At 38.7% G+C, this 19,827-nt stretch overlaps 1 long non-coding RNA gene and 1 pseudogene across 1 annotated transcript in view; one reads left to right on the top strand and one right to left on the bottom strand.

Annotated features, from left to right (window-relative positions):
* Positions 1-19,827, top strand: part of GLYATL1-AS1 (GLYATL1 antisense RNA 1) — a 124,810-nt gene that overhangs the window by 5,332 nt on the left and 99,651 nt on the right. Inside the window, exon 3 of the long non-coding RNA NR_033853.2 lies at positions 1,813-1,861. This is a non-coding gene — a long non-coding RNA (GLYATL1 antisense RNA 1). The remainder of the gene's footprint in view (positions 1-1,812; positions 1,862-19,827) is intronic.
* On the bottom strand, positions 1,102-12,085 carry GLYATL1P4 (glycine-N-acyltransferase like 1 pseudogene 4; annotated as a pseudogene).

Here is a 19,827-nt window from a genome sequence, read left to right as displayed (position 1 = left end):
GTGAACACTTGTGTGTTATTTCAGATATGCTTTCTTATGTACTGACAGTGACCCCCAAATTCATATGTTGAAGACCCAACTCCCAATGGACTTGGAGGTGGGCCTTTGAGAAGTAATTGGGTTTAGATTAAGTCATAAGGGTGGAGCCCCTATGATGGTATTAAGTCCTTCTAAGAAAAGGAAGAGAGTCTGAGCTCTCCTCTGTCTCTACCATGTGAGGGCACAGAGATGTATGCTTTTTGGACTTTGTTTTTAACTCAGTATGAAAAACATATATTTTAATAAGAAAATTACCCCATTCATTTTTAGTGCGTTTATTGATAATGTTGGACTTACTTGTGCCATATTTAAGGAATCCTCTTTCCTCTTTCCCATGCTTTCTTGTTGTTTTTTCAATCCAAGTGCATGATAAGGTTTAGGAATCACTTTTTTAACAGGGCCAAGAAGGGCTAGATAAGGGAAGCTGGCTTGTGTTCAGGGAAGCGGCAGAGGAGGGAAGCTGGCAGCTGGGCTGTGCTAAGATGACCTTAGCCCCAGACCCTGGATGAACATCCTCTTCTGGATACAGGACCTGCCCGAGGCACCATTTTGAATAGGCAAATCTTATTTTCTTTGTGTTCTTTCATCATCTGTATTAGCTTTTGCCTCTTGAGTGCCAAAATATAGCTGTTTTTATATGACTCCAAGTTCCTGAGTTTATTTTTTAGGTAAGAATTTTCCACCCTTTGAAATCCCAAATGACATGTTTACTCTCTCTCTCAGACCATGCTTTCATTTCAGTCAATGTAACAAATCAGCCAGGTCTCAGGAGTTTAGAAATCTGATTGGATTGATTTATACTAAGATGTAACAGATCTACCATAGCCTTCTAAGATGAATTGGAGTTTCTTAAAAACTCCATGACCTACACTATTCTTTAGGTGCTGGAATTGCACACTTTCAAATCGCATCAAGTATAAACATTCAATTTTGTGGAGGTTTATTTTTTATGGAGAGATGAGGTGTTGTTTAATACTGGTAGACTTTACTCCAAAAGACAATTCTATTAAGATTTCTTTTGTTTTTTTAAAATCTAGACTATCAGAAGGAGTAAAAATGCCATTTTTTTTTCTTTTTGCTGTGGCTACAATGTTCACAGTAATCCAAGCTCCAATGACAGGGTGGGAGAGCAGAGCCAAATGAGGCCACGTTTTTTTCATGAAGAGTATTTTTCTTTTTTTTTTTTTGAGATCAGGGATTCAGATTGTAATATAAGTGTTCAATTATAAAGTTATTATGATAGTGCATGGCACGTGCCCTTTCCATCATCTGGATTTTTCCACTTTTACTGTATGGCTCACTCTTACTCACTCTCCAGTCTTCACCTTAGTGGTCTCTTCTCCCTGGAATGCCCTTGACCCCTTAAGATAGCAGTGCTGCAAACATCAAAAGCTGAATTTATAACCAGACTCACAGGCAACACCTTGTCCTGTGCCATGCTTCACTAATGATGAGGAAGTGAGAAAGAGTAGGGGAAAGGAGGCACAACAAATGTCATTTCCATAGCAGAGGCCGCAAGACCAGCCCACTTGATTCTCTGGAGATCCTTTTCTGCATAACAATGATGAAAGGTAGCCTAGGAAAGCCATTTGTCTGAGGCTTCACCTTTGATACCTTGCTAGTCACTAAACTAAGAGACTGATTCCATTCTTTAGTATAGCCATTGCCTCATAAATCTATACATAGCAGGGGTATTTCTTTCCAATAAAGTATCCATATAGATTAGGTATATTCTATTGACAATTTTATTAAAGTTCTTCAATTATCTTCCAGATAGTAGATTCTATCAATCAAGTTTCATAAAGAGTTCTGATTCCCAGAGGTAAGAACTGAGCCTGGCTTTCTAGTTACATGTTTATTGGTAACTCTGTCCTTCCCTACAACACTTAAGCATATTTAAAGACTATACCCTCCCCTGCCTCCAGCTTGGATTGTAAGCTCCTCAAGAGCATGGCTGTGTCCTTTAACATCAGGTCTCCATGTGAGAAGGAGTTCCTGCCATATCATAAATGCCCAATCAACATTTGTAAGTGAAGAAAGCTATTCTGTGGTGTCTGCTTTAATATTAAGAGATGGCTTGCCCAAGATTGCTAAGCAGCTTCATTGTCTACAACGGAACAAGATTCTGTGGGTAGCAGGTCCATTGGTGCCACTGACAGGAGGCCTCAAGGAAACCTAGTGCCTTATTCATTCTGATGGCGCCTTGATTTTCTTCCAGCACAGAGCCGTAAAATGGAATATTCTTCTGACACAGATACTTCATGTATCGCACCATCATCCGTGTCGCGTTGCCTCTCCTTCGGTATTTTTCCACACTGTAGCCCATTCCTATTTCACAAGAAGGGTCCATGGTTACCCATGAGACCGGGACCCCCTCTGGGCCCAGCATACAGACTGCTGGCAGGGCTCCTAGGCAGCGCTTGATGTAATGCAGGCTCCTCTTATTCATCCCTAGCTTCCAGTTGTCATTTACCAGCCCAGAATAAGACACATTCAGCTGGGCATACTTAAAATTGGGAGTCTCGCTGTAGAAAACAAAAAGAAAGACAACAACTTTCATCCCCACTCCTGTAATTTCTAGGTGCCCTTCCATTCTAGAGATCCCAGGCCCTCTTCTTGTTAAAAGACCCACCATTGCAAAGTGGCGTATTTTGACCATTGACAACCTTTATTCATCCCAAGGAATGAATTCATCGTCTCTTCATTCCAAAACTGATTTATGTGAATTACAAAAATGTACAAGGAATAGCAATTATAAATGATCAGCACATGTTTTTTGTACCTCTCCAATTCGTCATCTGGGTGGCCTGTCTCAGCCCAGCTTCCAAGCTTGCTTTTATTGGTGGCATAGAGCTTCAGGATATCTTCCGTAACAAAGAGGAGTGCTCTCGAATGCTCTACCTTCACTGAATTTGAAAATGCAGCTGCTTTTATCCCCTCACCTAAACTTTCTTGAAAACCTGAGAGAAAGCCAAGAAAGCAATATTGTCAGACATGCAGTTCTCTACTTACATTGCTCCCACCTGATTAATACCTCAGTGCTTAGTAGTTTTCAAAGTTGAGTTTACACCACAATCAGCTATAGTCCTTGGCACACCACAGATTGCTCCACCTCTCCCAGCTCAGAGAGTTTCTATGAATTTACATTTCTAATGAGCTCTCAGGTGATGCTAATGCTGTTAGTTGAAGACACAATTTGAGAAGCACAGCTGCTTGCCCATTTCTTCAGACTTGTTACCTTGGATTTGGAGTTTCTGTTTCCAGTTTATGATCTCAGAATTTTTCAAAACTTCTTGTGATTTTTGAGGGTCTTTGGAGAATATACGATATACATTAGTGTATGAATCCATGTCATCAGTCATCTCCTGTGTAGGATGGTGAAAGGTCAGGTCATTCCCTTGAACTTTTTCTTCTCCTCTCACTGATTGCAATTATTAGAAAAATGACAATTGAAAGGAAAATTTTAACACCAGCCCACGATGGCTGCAGTTGGGCACATGGATAATAGAACCAAGGCCTATAAGCTACTGCTGACCTCTTACCTGTTTAACTGGAGTTTGTTAAATATTGAACACTGACAGGTACTGGTTATAAACCTGCTTATCAGATGCATAACAAAGACAGGATGAAATCAGTCACCTTCCACCAGGCCTTAAGATGCCTCACCTTTCTCCCTACCCACTCAACCGCACACTTACCTTATTTTATATATAGCATCACAGAGCGCCCAGCAGAAGCAAAGGAATGCAACAATTGCTTCTCTCCCTGCTTCTCTCACCTCCTGGACCACACATATCCCCCTGTTATATATACTGTGCCCCACATAACCCCCTGTGGGACATATTCTGCGTTGTACTGAGTCCGTGTTGATAGGGTTAAGTTCTTAAACTTGGCACAAGATGAATTTAACTGTGATTTCTCTAAGTTTTAGTGCCTACTGTTTCACCAGACACCTACAATCTATACTGTTTTAGAATCTGCAGTGTCCAGGGTTTGAGCAAGATACTTTAGTGAATAGAAACATTAAGGAGACATTGCCTTTTCCCAAGGCTACAGGATATCAGCCTCTTTGAAGAGTGACATGGCCTTTACAGCCAGAAGCCCACAAAATAGAATGAAGTAACTGAATTTTCGGTAGCACTCTGCACAATTTATGTGGTGTTGGACTCATGGGTTTTAAAGAAAGAGACTTGTGATCCCATTCTGACAAGCCACAAACTTCATGGGACGATGTGTATCTGTTTATCAGGGGAAATATAAACAATAAGTGTGAGAGTTTTAGCAGTGAATGTATTAATATCATGTTGAAAATTTTATCGTTAAGGAGTAAAAGAGAAAATAGTGTAACTAATTTTAAGGAAACCTTCAAAAATTTGGGGGTGCTTTTATAAATGCAAGTTCCTGAATATGGCCAAAACACAACACCTCAGTGAATTTAAAAGAGTAGAAGTTTTAAAAGACCCGATTTTAAAAGAATGTCTTAAAATAGCCAAGTAAATATTCAAAGAATTATAAAGAGAATATCAAAGTAAACCAGAAAATAACTAATGGAACAATTTGTAAAAATAAAAGCCATAAATACTGAAATGTAGAAAGTTCATTATTAAATGGGAAAAAGAGAAAGAGCAGAAGAGAGAGATAAACTTCTGGTAAGGCATTTAAAGGAAATAGAAGAGAAAGAGAAAAGAGAAAAAAAGGCATAGAGTATGAGCCATGAGAACGGAAACAGAAAAGAAAAAAGACTTATAATAGAAGATTATATACTCCAAGGCAACATATTCACTGATAAAGAAATGGATGTTATCCCTCAAGAATAAACTATCAAAATTGACTTTCAAAAAATAGAAAACTTCAGTGAACTAATAGAAATATCAGAAATGAAATTAAACATCTACCATTTGAAAAGTGGACAAGAATTATGGCCTCCAGCTCCATCCGTGTTGCTACAAAGGACAATATTTTATTCTTTTCTACTGCTGTGTAGTATTCCATATGAATGTATGTAGCAAGTTTTTTTTTTATCCAATGCACCTTTGATGGGGATCTGTGTTGATTCCATGTCTTTGCTATTGTGAACAGTGCAGCAATGAACATCCTAGTGCATGTGTCATTTTGGTAGGATGATTCATTTTCTTTTGGGTATTTACCTAGTAATGGCATTGCTGGGTCTAATGGCAACTCCGTTTTAAGTTCTCTAAGAAATTTCCAGACTACTTTCCACAGTGTAATAATCCTAAGCAAATTAATGCTGTAACAGAAAATCAAATATCACGTTTTCACTCATAACTGGGAGCTAAGCATTGACCATACATGGACATAAATGTGGGAACAATAGACACTATGGACTCTAGAGGGTGGAGGGAAAGGGGCTGGGTTAGAAAACTACCTATCGGGTACTATGCTCACTACCAGGGTGATGGGATCTGTCCGTACTCCAAGACTCAGCATCATGCAATATTTGCATGTAACAAATATGCACATGTACCCCCTTTATCTAAAAGGAAAGTTGAAATTACAAACTAAAAAGTAGCCAAAATTAGATTATTTTACATTTCAATTCTACATAAGACAAAACCAAACACATAATTTTAATTGTATTGTTTGGTAAAAGATGAAAAGATCCTAATGCCAAATCTGGTAAAGAAATAACAAAAAGAGAGTTACTGACCATATTGGCTTATGAATACAGATGCAAAAATTCTGAATAAAATATTCAGTAGCATATGAAAAGAATGTGAACATGAACAGTTTGTTTTAGAAAGGCCAGAATGAGTTTGATCAGAAGATCTTTTAGGGTAATAAATTAAAGGAGGAAAAAATTACATGAGTATATAAATTTCCATAAAAAGACAAAAATGAAATAACATAAAATTTACCGTTCATTCTAAATATAATTTCTATGAAAGTGGGAAAACAGGAAAGTGCTCTAAGCCTGTAAAGACAGAATTAAATGTAATTTTAAAGGTAAGTGTTTATAGCTATTTCATTAGAATCAGGAATGAGACAAGAATAGAACTATTATTATGGTTATTTGATATTGTTTTCTTAGGTTGTACATTATACAATAAGGCAAGAAACTAAAAACCCATACAAATATTGGCAAAGAAGCAGCAAATTACTTTGTTTATAGATTACAGTATTACACATTTAGAAAATATAAGAGACTTCGACAGAAAACAATGTAGTTTACCTCAGGAAAACACTAATATTTTACCAGATGGCATAGAACAGAAACTGAAAAAAGTGAGAGAAAGACCATATTTCTTGATAAAAATATTTAGTATCACAAAAATATTAATGCTTCCACAATTGTCTAAAAAACTCCTCCAATACAAATCACAATTGCAATACTTAGTTGGGGGAATTGGGGAACTGAAAAATTAGTTTTTGTTCATATAGCTCTTAAGTTTATAAGAAATAGGAAATCAAGAAAAACATTAGTGAAGGGTGATTTGCTTTATTAGATATTAATATTTACCACAAAACATTGAAATAGCATGAGAAAAGACTAAAACAAATACAGAAATAGCTACAAAAATATATAAAAATGTTACATGACAAAATAGACATTTATGTTTCAGTAGCAGAGTGACTTATTTAATAAATAGCACTAATGTAATTAGCCAGCCATAAGGTGAATAAATATAAAAGAATGTTAATGCATGCTATTCAAAAATATATTGCAAATAGAATGAAGTTTGAAATGTCAAAAGTAAAAACTCACTGTAAGACAAAATGAAAAAAACAACTTGTATGATCTTGGATTAGGAAAAATCTTCCTAATTATTAACAAAAAAACCCCCAAAGCCTCAGGAATCATAGTGAAAAAGATAATATATTTGATTACATGAAAATTAAAAATTGCTTCATGTGAAAATCTATCAATAAAATAGAAAATAATTCTCAATTGGGCAACAAATTTGTAGCATACACCTTGTGTTAGTATCCCTCATATCCAAAACACATAGAGAATTTTAAGAATGACACAAAATCCCAGTGTAAAAATGGTCAAACAATATAAACAGTTCAGAAGTAAACCCAAAATGACTGATAATCATATGAAAATATATGTTGAATATCACTAGTCAGGGAAATGCAAATTAAATCTACAATAAGATGCCACTTTTCACCCACCAGTTTGGCAGAAATTAGAAGAAGGATAACATTCAGTGCTGGTGAGAATGTGGGAAACAATTCTTCCACAAATTGCTAATGGAAATAATACTGTGGAATCCTTTGGGAAGGTAGTCTGGCAGTGCCTACTTAGGATAAGAGAAGCTCTTACTTGGACGTATCCCTTTTGGAAACCAATTGCATTGAGAAAAGTTTCCAGGATGTAAAGACATGTATACAAGGATGTTTACTGAAGCATTGTTTGTAATGGCAAAGAAGTATGAACAATTTGAACCCAACAGGAGGAGAATGACTGACTAGCATTGCATTGACTCTATGGAACACCACAGTTACTAAAACGAAAACGTTAGTGCTGTATTGATTCACTCAAAGCAATGTCCATATGTCAAAGGCAAATTAAAAAGTGATGACAGTTTGTGTGTTAATATGGGCAAGGACACTGATTACCCCAAAGGGTAGGAATGGAGGAGAGGAGGGCAAAGGAGGTGAGAGGTTATTAACTTCTTAAAATCATATTGGATTTTTCCACTTGTATAATCAGCATATATTATCTTTCTGATTAAAAACCAAGAAAGAAAAAATTAATTTTTTTCTAGAGAAATTCTCCTGCATCTCACCTTAAAAAGGTCTTCTTCAAAATTGCATCGATTTTCAATACTGAAAGAAACGTGGTATACTATGGAATCAGACTAGGTGAATGTATTTCCAAGTAAATTGCAGCATATTTCATTCTTTCCATTTTTTTGGTCATGTATGTGTGGCATGGAACTTTTATATTTTAATATTTTTGTTTACTGACTCACTTTATAAAAACTAGCCTTGTTCAAAGCAATGCATATATGAAGTTACAGCTTGATGGTGCAGTTACATTGTTAAAATACACATAGTAACTACAAAGTTACTGAAGTAAAAAGAACTATTTGACCTCATACAGTTATTTAGCATATCACACTTTGAAGAAATTGGACCATGGATCAAATAAACTAAGCATTAATCTTCCATCTGAAATTGTCAGGAAACCTTGAGATCAAAAGAACATCCCTGGGAAGGTGTTAGGCTCAGCTTATTATTATGTGGGGGCTCAGCGTCTATACCCACCTGAAGCTGGGCTGTCCATGAGGCTTCAGTTCACTAACCAGATGTGCATGAAACAGATACAAAAAGGGGAAGCCTTTAGGGCCAAAAAATAGACCTAGGTTTGTATTACTATTTCAGCTTAATCGTGTATACCTTGTGTTTCCTCGGCCAACAATGGCTAATTATGGTAAATACTATTTAGAATTATGTGCTATGTACTAAGTGTTTGACATATGGTATCTCATTTAAACCTTCTGTGATCCTCTGAAGAGTGTCCTCCAATTTTTCCCATTTTAACAGATGATAAAACTCACAGAAGGGCCTATGGTTATATAGCTAGTAAAAGTGGCAGAGTCCGTTGAACTTGAATTCAGATTGGGGAATGCTTTAACAGTTGGTATCCAGCAGCTACAGGACTTAATATTTCTCAGTGTTGTTTCCTCATCTCTAAATTGAAGATATTAAAGCTCACTTTGTAAAATTGTTCTGATGATGACAGTCACTAATGAGTGAGGTGCTTCCAAACAGTTGACACACAGTAATTGTGTGCCCCTTCCCTGGTTCCTGAGAAGCAACTTTTATTTTTTTATGACAGGGTCTCACTCTGTTGGCCAGGCTAGAGTAGAGTGGTGTGATCTTGGCTCACTGCAGCCTCAACCTTCTGGGGCTCAAGCCATCCTCCCATCTCCATCTCCTGAGCATCTAGGAGTATAGGCATGTACCACCATGCACTGCTAATTTTGTTTATTTTTTTGTAGAGATGAGGTCTCACTATGTTGCACAGGCAGGTCCCAAACTCCTGGCCTCAAGCGATCCTCCTGCCTTGGCCTCCCAAAATGCTGGGATTACAGGTAAAAGACACCATGCCTGGCCATGAGAGGTAATTTTGCTGGTAGACTACTGCCTTGGTTTTTGTTTCTAAATCACTGTTCTGATATCTCAGACACACAACTTTCCCTGTAAATTGGCCTCCATTCAGCCCCTGCAGGTGACCCCTGCCACCTCAAAGGGCCCTTAATCTGTGAGTGTCAGCCTTGTCCTTTTCCTCCCCTTCCCCCTTGAACCCCTTTCCCAAATTAGTCTTATGCTTACGGGAAGAGTGTTAACATGTGGCATTCATGCAAGCTGCTCATTAACGAAGGAGTGTTTTAAAATACTCACATTTCCTTTCACCCTATGAAAGCAGCCATGGTGTCTGAATTGGACAGTTCCTCAGGCCCTTTGGACCTGCCTGGCTCCACCAGTCCCTGTCTGTGTGCCTACCTGTTTTTGAGGTCGGATAATAACCATCTGATACCCGGGCCAGGAGTCCACCAACACCTCCATGTTGAAGGGGTTCCCGTGATTGATGTGAAACAGAGAGCCATACACCTGAAGGAGGGATGAAAGGGAATAGGAGAGGTTGAGATCCCCAGAGATGGGGGTCTGTATGTGAAGAGGAAGAGAAAAATGGAAGTCAGGAGACAGCACTGGGACCAAGTTGGTGATAGTGTGATGAGCAGCATCTCCAGGACCATACTGATGGACGTGAAGTCACCAGCAAACAGGCAGAACTCCCAGGGAGGTGTCCTTGTGATACCACAGAGCTACTGTGCAGTAGCTGGGCACTTGACAATGCACTTAGCACTTATATTGTATGGATTCATTCAGTGTCCACAACAACTTTAATAGGTGGCTACTAATATTATTCCCATTTTATTAATGAAAAGACCAAAGATAAAGGCATAGAAAGCTAAAGACACAGGCACAATGATATCTGACTAAAAAATGGCAGCCTTGCAATGCATATTTATTGAATCTGGCCCCAAACCGATGTTCGTAGCCACCATTCTTCACCACCTCTCCAAATGAGTGATAAAATCTGCAGAGTCGGCCTAGTTGCCTGTTGCCGAGGAGAAGCAGCAGCTCTTAACATGCCTCCTTTGTCCCCAACCCCATCCTGTTTCCCAGCTCCAACCCTCTGCACAAAGTCAGGAAGGACGAGATTCTTGGGCCTGTTATTTTCTCATCCTCAACACCCCTACTCCCATACCCCAACCTCCCACTGTTCCTTCACCTTCAGGGACTCAGGAATGCTCCTTGCTAAAGATTTGAATAGGGCCAGCAGCTGCTCAGAATTATTCAATAGAATCATTTTGTGGGATGCTTCAGTCCTCGAGCCCTTCAAGAAAAAACTCTGAAGAGAAGTGAAGGGAAAATGTTAAAGGACCAGATGAAATTAAAATGCACTTTACACATCTCCATTCAAGTAACACTCATGATGTAGGTACTGTTAGTATCGTCTTCATTTTGAATACGCCAAAGCTTAGAGAGACTAAATAAATTTCTCAAGTTCTTACAGGGATAAATGACAGAGTCCTATCCAAAACCCATGCATTTCCTCTCTGGTGGAATGAATTAAAAGTGAATATTAAGAGTTCTGTGAGCCTCCCACATGCCTGTAGCAGAACACTCCACCACCACCATCATAATGTTTCTTTTATTTTGGTCATCAGATGCCTGAAGAGTCTTCTTTCTTCTGGAATAGGAAATATCTAAGAACAGTTGTGACTGGAAACCTCAGAGCAGGAGTTGGCAAAGATTTTCTTTAGTTTCTTAGGGCCAAATATTTCAGATCTATAACCATTTTGAAATTTTTCCCAGTTTCATTACAAAAATAAGAAAAAAGCATAGAAAATTTGGAAACATATCTGTAAATTTCCTTTGAAATAACACTTGGAATTCTTTTTTTTTTTTTTTTTTTTTTTTTTTTTGAGACGGAGTCTCGCTCTGTCGCCCAGGTCGGACTGCGGACTGCAGTGGCGCAATCTCGGCTCACTGCAAGCTCCGCTTCCCGGGTTCACGCCATTCTCCTGCCTCAGCCTCCCGAGTAGCTGGGACTACAGGCGCCCGCCACCGCGCCCGGCTAATTTTTTGTATTTTTAGTAGAGACGGGGTTTCACCTTGTTAGCCAGGATGGTCTCGATCTCCTGACCTCATGATCCACCCGCCTCGGCCTCCCAAAGTGCTGGGATTACAGGCGTGAGCCACCGCGCCCGGCCTAACACTTGGAATTCTTACAAATGTGCCAAAGAGTATAACAGTTGACATTCTATAGTGCCAAACCGGTTCTTAGCCAAAAGGGACTTTACTGAGAGCCCTCATTTTTAAATGTAGTTCAATGCATTGTTTTTCATTTGGAATGTTCCACTCTAAGTTATCTTTAGTAAGATTTTGCCATTTGTGTAAGACTTCTCTGCCTTCCAGTCCTAATGTATAAGCCAGAAAGAACTCAGTTTTTCAGAAATTAAGGATTCCAGTTTTACATAAAATACTGACTTTACTCTCAGGTTCTTTTGATTAACTTAACCAATGAATTTTCCTATCTAGGTACACAAGAAAAATGAAACAAATGGGTAGAACACAAAAATCCCTGTGAATTTCCCAAAGCCGAATTTTATGACTGCTGCGACATTACTGCTTACTACCACTTCCTTTATGACCCAGTCAGCTGTTAGTGGCCTCTACTGTTAGTGGCCTCTAAGTGGATCCAAGCCAGTTAATTCCCAGATCAAATTCATTCCTAGACCCAGTCCATTTTCTGTTGCAACTCCAAAACCAGTTTGGATCACAAATTTGCACAAGGAAACTCAGAGAGCTCAAAACACAAATGTGTGAAGCTCCAAAATGCAAGAGGGAGCTTACCTTTGATCCTCAGCTGCTCTGAGAGATCAGTGGACACAAGTGGATCCCGCAGGTACCTTCTGTGTTTACTCAGTGCTCCTGGGGATACTAGAAGCTCCACTTCAGATTCTGCTTCTGACACAATCTGATAAAATAAAAACTTCAGCTGACTTAAATTTAAAGGAGATTAGTTGAGCAATGAACAATTCATCGATCCAGCAGCCTTCAGAATCACAGCAGATTCACAGAGTTTCCAGGGGTGCCTTGTGGTCAAAACAAATTTATAGGGAAAAAAAGTTAAAGTGACATCCAGGAACCGGAAATGAGTTACAGAAACAGTGAGATTTCTGTCACCTGGGCGTTTGCCTTATTTAAACACAGTTTGAGCATTCAGCAGTCTATGAGTGGTGATGTAAGGCTGCTGGGACTGGCCAGCATTCAAATATTGTTACAGGTGCAGACTCCTAAATTAGGTTTTCAATTTTGTCTATTAAGCTAGGTTACTCTACACCCACAAGGGCTCAAATGAAGCACAGAGTCCTTCTCAGACCATATTTAGTTTGCTTTAACACTCTGTAGCAAAATTCATTGAAAGGATTGTCTACAAATGCTATTTCCAATCCTCCCCCTAATCTTATCTAACTGGGTTTTTGCTGCTACCATTTTACTGAAACATTTTTTAAATCCATCAGTGATCTCTATGTTATTAAATCCAGTGGTCAATTATTGCTTCTGTTCTTAATAGATCATTCTTTAAGACTTTCTTCACTTGGTTTCCGAGAAAACACACTCTCTTCTTTTCCTTTAACTTCACTGGTTATTTCTCAGTCTCCTCTGTGGACCCTTCTTTTCTCCCCAACTTCTTAATTTTGCATCACTTTAGAGTTCAATCATTGGCCTTCATTTGTATCCACACTTACTCCCTAGTAATCACATCTGTTCCCATGGCTTTAAAATCAATCTGCTTGCCAATGACTAATACATTTATATTACTATTAAAACTCTTTTCCAAACTCAAGACATATGTATCCAATAGCCTGTTTGATATCTCTTGGATTCCACCCAATAGCCATCTCAAACTCATTATGTCTCAGATCAAACTCCTTATCCACCCTCTCCACCCAGCCTACTTCACCTGTAGTCTTTCTCAATTAAGTTGATGGCAACTCCACCTTTTCACCTATTCAAATAAAAACTCTTGGAATTATTCTTAAGTATCTTTTCCCCTCCCACTTTACATCCAATCCATTATGACATTCTGCTCATTCTGGTTGGGAGAAAAGTCTTCATGGCCTCTCACATTTCTGCATGTCTTAGGAGCAGAGACATTGACAGCCTTTGCTCCTATCCTTTCAAGGATGTTTGTAAAGAGTACAGCTTGGAAGCTGGAGATACTGCTTTCTTCTGAAGCAGAAGGCAGTTTTGCTGCAACACACATCTATTGAATTTGTGACATTAATCTGCCTTCCTGTATTTCCTCTGTAGGACTTGTGGAGCAAAGATGACTGACACAAACATATAAATCATTCTGCCTGTTGAAGGCATATAAAATCCTGCCTTTACCTGGAAGCTTGTGTCATCTGCCAGCATTTCTGCATCTGTGCCCCTGTAAACTTTTAGATGCTTCAGAGTTCTTGGCAGTCTTTTCTGGATGGAGAATGTCTTTAGTCTTTTCTCTATGTAAAACCAGAACACTCCTTTTAAAACAAAAGCCACATTTTGTTATTCGTTGTGCAAGTCCTGCTGTCACTCCCAATCTCATTCAGAGAAAGATATATAAAAGTCTTATAACAGCCCTCTAAGTTCTCCATGACTTAGAATCCAGTCACCTCCCTGACATCCCTCCAGTCATGTCCCTGACTTCAATCTCTTTGCCTTCTCTGCTTCAGGCACTTTGCTGTCCTTTTTCTTCTGCTTGCATTCTGTTTTCTCATTATACCTATAGAAAACCTTATTACCCTCTTTAAATCTTCACCTTAAAGCCACTTGCTCAATGAGGCCTCCTCTGACCATCGTATTAACAATTACAACTGTTCCCCTAGTTTCTCTGCAATGCTCCTGTGCCCCATTGTCATTCTCTGCCTCTTATCTTTTTCTTTTTTGACAGGGTCTCACTCTGTCACCCAGGCTGGAGTGCAGTGGCTGGATCATGAGTCACTGCAACCTTGACCTTTCAGGCTCAAGCATCCTCTCACCTCAGTCTCCTGACTAGCTGCAGGCATGAATCAATGTGCCTGGCTAATTGTCTTATTTTTATGTTATAGAGATGGTGGGGCGGGGGGGGGTCTTCATTTTTCAGACTGGTCTCAAACTACTGGTTATAGTTTTATAACTTTCTGTGCCACACTCTGATGCCCCAAAATATCTAGCAGAGACAAACATAAAACCCCGAAAAAATGTATGCTGACAATTCTGAAGACATTTCTATTTTTATCTTACAATAATTTTAATGCTAGCTTCTTAAAAATTTACTTAAGTAACGTGAATGTAAAAAATACTTTGGACTTATTTACTTAATCTAGGAGTGTTCTTTTATGTATAAGCCAATTTGGTAGTCACAACATATAATGTAATACATGTGCATACACATAAACACATCTAGATGTATATACACACAAAGATCCAAAAGCTTTTACCTTGGAACTCTAGCCATGAGATAGTAATACAGTCTCAACTGTCTGCAAACATGTCCACATGGCTGAACTTTGTTAGCCTTGATAGGTAATCCAGGGAAGGCTGTGAAACAAATTTTAAATAAAATGAGTTTCTGTGGCAGTTTGATTTTTAAAGGCCAAAACTCCCTATACTCCCAAAACACTGGGGTCAAAAACGGCACCGCATGAGATCATCACATATTAACCTGGCCCGACCCTGCTTAAAACAGCAGCACAAAATCCCACTTTCCCATTCAACAGCAAACTCCAGATTCCAAACTATACTGGAGCCAAACAGTGTCACAAAAGAGTACCAGTTTATCAAATTCGAATTTCCCATGACTGTATCAGACACATGCAAACAATTACTAAAACACAATCCAACTGCTGCAGCATCAAACAAGCCCCAAAAGTCTACGATGTGAAAGAGTTGTGGTGCTTCCTCTCTCCATTGGTTGGGCTCAATCGACCTGAAATAAAAATTCCTTCAGAATTTCTCAGATGGAGAGGAGCAGATCCCACTGTCTGGTTCCCACAAATGACACTCACTTGCCTGGATACACACACAATGACAAACAAGCTCCTAAGAGTGTCCGTACTGAAATAGTCAGGGTACTTCCCTCTCTTCATCAATTGGGCTTGTTCAACCTGCAAGTGGAAATTCCTTTAAAAATTTCCCAAACTGTGAGGAGGAGATCTTTCTGTCTGGGCCCACAGAGGAGAGTCACCTATCTGGATGCAAATATCAAATTTCAAAGGCAGTTCTCCCAAGGCAATCAGGAACATGGTTGGGGCCAGCTGTGGCTGGCCCTAGAGAGAGGGTACTCATCTCTAGCCAAAATTGGGTAAGCAGCTGCTTAGGAGGACTTTGAGATTCCCCGCCCATGGTAGCTGAGCCAAAGTGTTCCTGGTTGGGGAATCAAAATCTGTTAGTGAAACACCAGGGGTGTGGTCTAGCTCCAGCTGCTCACTGCACAGAAAACCAATTCATATCAACAATTCTTGCCAAGGGAGAAGGCTGAATCAGATGCTGTAGGAGAGGAGATGGTAGTTCAGTGTCAAATCCATCTCCCTGACCAGCTAAAATTATGAGTTTACATAGCAGGGAGGAAAAGTAACCATGTGTAGAAAAACAGGAACTCAGGAGACCTAAGGAAGCAATCATAATGTATGAGGGGTCTGGTGTGCCATCATCTGGATGGAATCATCTGGTGAATTTCAGTTCTTTTATACTTTTTGAGGGACCTAGGGGTCCTTTACCAAGGATGAAACTCATAGAAAACAAATAAAAGTTTCAAGCTTTAAGACCAGAATGGTCAATTTCTATGTTTATACAAAAAACTATCCATGGGACTACAGGGGAGGTTTCATTTCGAGTGCCAGTGCTAGCTGCAGTCGGCCTCAAGTCTGCCTAGGCTTCTGTCAAACTGTCTCAGGACCTTGGCCAGGAGAATAGCTTCCTCTCCCATCTGTGGGCTCCTCTCCCATCTGTAGGGCTGCTGAGATAGCCAAGTTCTTAGAATACCTCAGTTCCAGAGCAGACTCCTTTGTATCAGCCTTTCAGACCAGCTCTGGACTCTCTCTAGATCTCAGCCCATGCTTATGGTGTGCAGGGGTATAAGGCGGAACTAGACCCCTATGACTTCCTCCCAGAAACACATGCTATCTGACAGAGTGGTTACTCTGCAAGACTCCAGCAGGGGATTCTCCAAGTCCACTTCTCTGATGTAGCTAATCTATGGATCAAAACTGAAAGGTTTAGCCTTCTGTGTCACTGCTTCTGGGCCCTCTGGGCCTAGCTCAGCTCTGATATCAGTCCCATCATACTCAGTATTAGTCATAAGTGACTTCCCGAAACACTCATTGCAGCTTGGATTCTGGCACAAACATGGGATCTCTGAATGGAAGCAATGAATTCTGGTTTTACTGGTGCTGAGGTTATGCTAATCAGTTTTGGGGTTTTCAGTCTGTGTGAGAGATCTCTGATTCTAGGTCTCTCCAACTGCTTAGCCCTGAATCTTCTTCCAACCTTTGGGAAACCACAGGTCCTTCAGGGGGTCATGGTGGAGTAGACACCTAGGATACAATTTAGGCATGGCCCCACTTTCAAAAAGGGTCCCAAATATGAGATTCCAGCTGTATCACCAATGATATCACCCATTGAAACTCAGGCAGAATGAAGAGAACACATTCACCATCAGTTACATGCTGGCAGAAGTCAACCCTGAATCAATGCTTTATAATTCCTGTACTGATCTTGTGAGTAGAACAACAGTATTGCATGGCATTTTTGTGGTTGTAAGCATACATTTATAAAATACACAGATTTTAAAGCCATTATATTATCAATGTTTTGATCTATCTTTATTTTTTGGTATACTTCATACTACAAAGAGTGGCAATAAGCTGGCCATCTTTGAACCCCTGTGAAGCCTTGAAACTGTTGCTCATGGCAGGGAATGGGGACTGCATGGCTGAGTGTCTGTGGGAGGCTGGTGGAGATGCTCCCTCTGTGTATTCTCACAATGTGTCAAGGATCTCTGGGATGCTTCGTTCATATTAATGTCCTTAATTAGGCCCATTCCACAACCTAGCCAGCCCTTGTAGACACAGGTTCAATGCCCACATCAGAGCCATGTCAGCCCCTGTAGACATGGGCTTCATTCCAGCCCCTACTGGTACAGGCTGTATGCCTGCCCTGATAGACATAGGCTTTATGTTCATCCCCACATACCCAATGAAAATATCCAGCCAGTGGATATAGGATTCAGGCCCAACTCTACAGACCCAGGAACCAAGCCTACCACCTGCTGACACAGACACCAGGCCAGCCTGCCTGAAGACTTCAGCAACAAGTTCACCTGCACACCACAACAGACACCCTACCAAGAATTGCTGGATGACTGGGGAAAGGTTTTTCCAGACAAAGCCAGTATGCAAAGACTGGAATAACTTTCTTGTTTTTCAAATGTGCAGACACCAATGCACAGCCTAAAAATCAAGAAATATAAGAGAAAAATGATACCACCAGAGGAAAAAAAAGAATACCCAATAGCTGACCCCCAAAAATAAAGATTTATGAACTTTCTGACAGTGAATTTAAAATAATGGTCTTTAAAATGCTCAGTGAGCTTCAAGAGAACACAGATAGATGACTAAAAAGAATCAGAGAAATAATACATGAACAAAATAGAAAGTTCAACAAACAGAAAGAAATCATTAAAAAAGAGACATTCTGGACATAAAGGACACAACGGTTGAACTGAAAATTTCATAGACTTCTTTGAAAGCAGATTTGATCAAGTAGAATAAAGAATCAATAAACTCAAAGACACATCATTTGAATTTACTGTCAGAGACACAAAAGGAAAAAAATGAGAAAAAATAAAGACATCCTATGGCAATTATAGAACATCAGTATGAGAACCAATGCACACATCATGTGTGTCCCAGAAAGAGAAGAGAAACACATAGGGAAAGAAATCTTATATGATGAAATAATAACAGAATACTTTCCAAGTCTGGGGAAAGAGAAATATACAGGTATAGGAATATTGAAGATGTTTGATATGATTCAGTCCCATCAAGAGTACAAGAAATATTTTAATTAAACTGTCAAAAATCAAAGAAAAGGAAGATTCTGGAAATAAATGAGAAAACAAGCAAATAATATATAAGGGAGTTCCAAGAAGGCTAATAGCAGATTTTTGAGGAGAAACTTATAGGCTGAGAGCATGGAATGATATATTCAATGTTCTATAGAAAAAAAAAGTGTCAACCAAAAATACGATTCTCGGGAAAATCTGTTTTTTGCAAGTAATGGAAAGATTAAAATCTTTGCCAGAAAAACAAAAATTAAGGGAGTTTATTACCATCAGAGCTGTCTTACAGGAAATGCTAGAGAACAAATATTAGGACACAAGGCATGTCATAATAAATTTAAGAAGACTGAAATCATACCATTTATCATTCCAGATCACAATGACATGAAACTAGAAATTAATAACAGGAAAATTTTTTAGAAAACTCACAAATACATGAAAATTAAACAGCATGCTTCTGAACAACAGATGGATTAAAGAGGAAATTAAAATGGAAATTTAAAAATATGTTGAGAACAGCAAAAATGGAAACTCAAAATACCAAAACTTGTTAGATGCCTCAAAACTTTCACACTGAAAAAGAAGAAAGATCTTAAACAACTTAATGTTACACTTCAAGGAGGTATAAAAAGAATAAACTAAGTCCAAAGGTAATAGAATGAAGGAATAAATAAAGGTTGGGGCAGGTAAATTAAATAGAAACTATGAAAACAATGAAAAAAAAAAACCCTGAAATTTGATCTTTCCAAAAGTTAAATAAGATTCACAAACCTTTATCCAGACTAAGGGGGAAAAAAAAAGTTAATCATAAACAAAAAGGAGACATCACAACTTACATCACAAAAAAATCAGAAGAGACTATTATGACAAATTATATGCCAACAAATTGGATAATCTACAATAAATGGGTAAATTCCTAGATACATAAACCCCACCAAGATGAAGAAATTGAAAATCTAAACAGACCAATAATGAGTAAGGTGGTTAAATTAGTAATAAAAAATATTCCATTAAAGGAAAGCCCAGGACCTTATGGCTTCACTGCTGAATTTCACCAAATATTTAAAGAAGAACTCATGTCAATCCAATCTAAAAGCCTTCCAAAAAATTGAAGAAGAGGGAATACTTCCAAAGTTATTTTACAAGGCAAGCATAATCCTGATACCAAAGATAGGGACACTTCAACAAATGAAAATATTAGGCAATAGCACTAATGAACATAGGTGCATCAATAAATATTAATACTAACAAACTAATCCCAACAGCATGTCAAAAAGTTCATTCATCATGATACAGTGGGCTTTAACGTAGGGTTGCAAAGATAATTCAACATACAGATCTATAAATGTGAAATACCACATCAACAGAATAAACAACAAAATCCATATGATACTTGATAGAAGCAGAAAAAGCATTTGATAGAGTTCACCATGATTTCCTGATTATGAACTCTCAACAAATGAGGTATAGAAGGAATGTAGCTCATACAATAAAGACCATTTATGATAAATCCACCGCTAACATTACACTTAATGGTGAAATGTGAAAAACATATTTCTAAGATTAAGAACAAGACAAGGATGCTCACTCTCACTACTTCTATTCAGTGCATTAATGGAAGTTCTACTCAGAGCAATTAGGCAAGAGAAAAAAATAAA

This window comes from Homo sapiens, chromosome 11 (genome assembly GCF_000001405.40).
Source record: "Homo sapiens chromosome 11, GRCh38.p14 Primary Assembly".
NCBI lineage: Eukaryota > Metazoa > Chordata > Mammalia > Primates > Hominidae > Homo > Homo sapiens.
The sequence above is the reverse complement of the archived record's forward strand: the minus strand, read 5'-3'. Positions and strand labels throughout refer to the sequence as shown.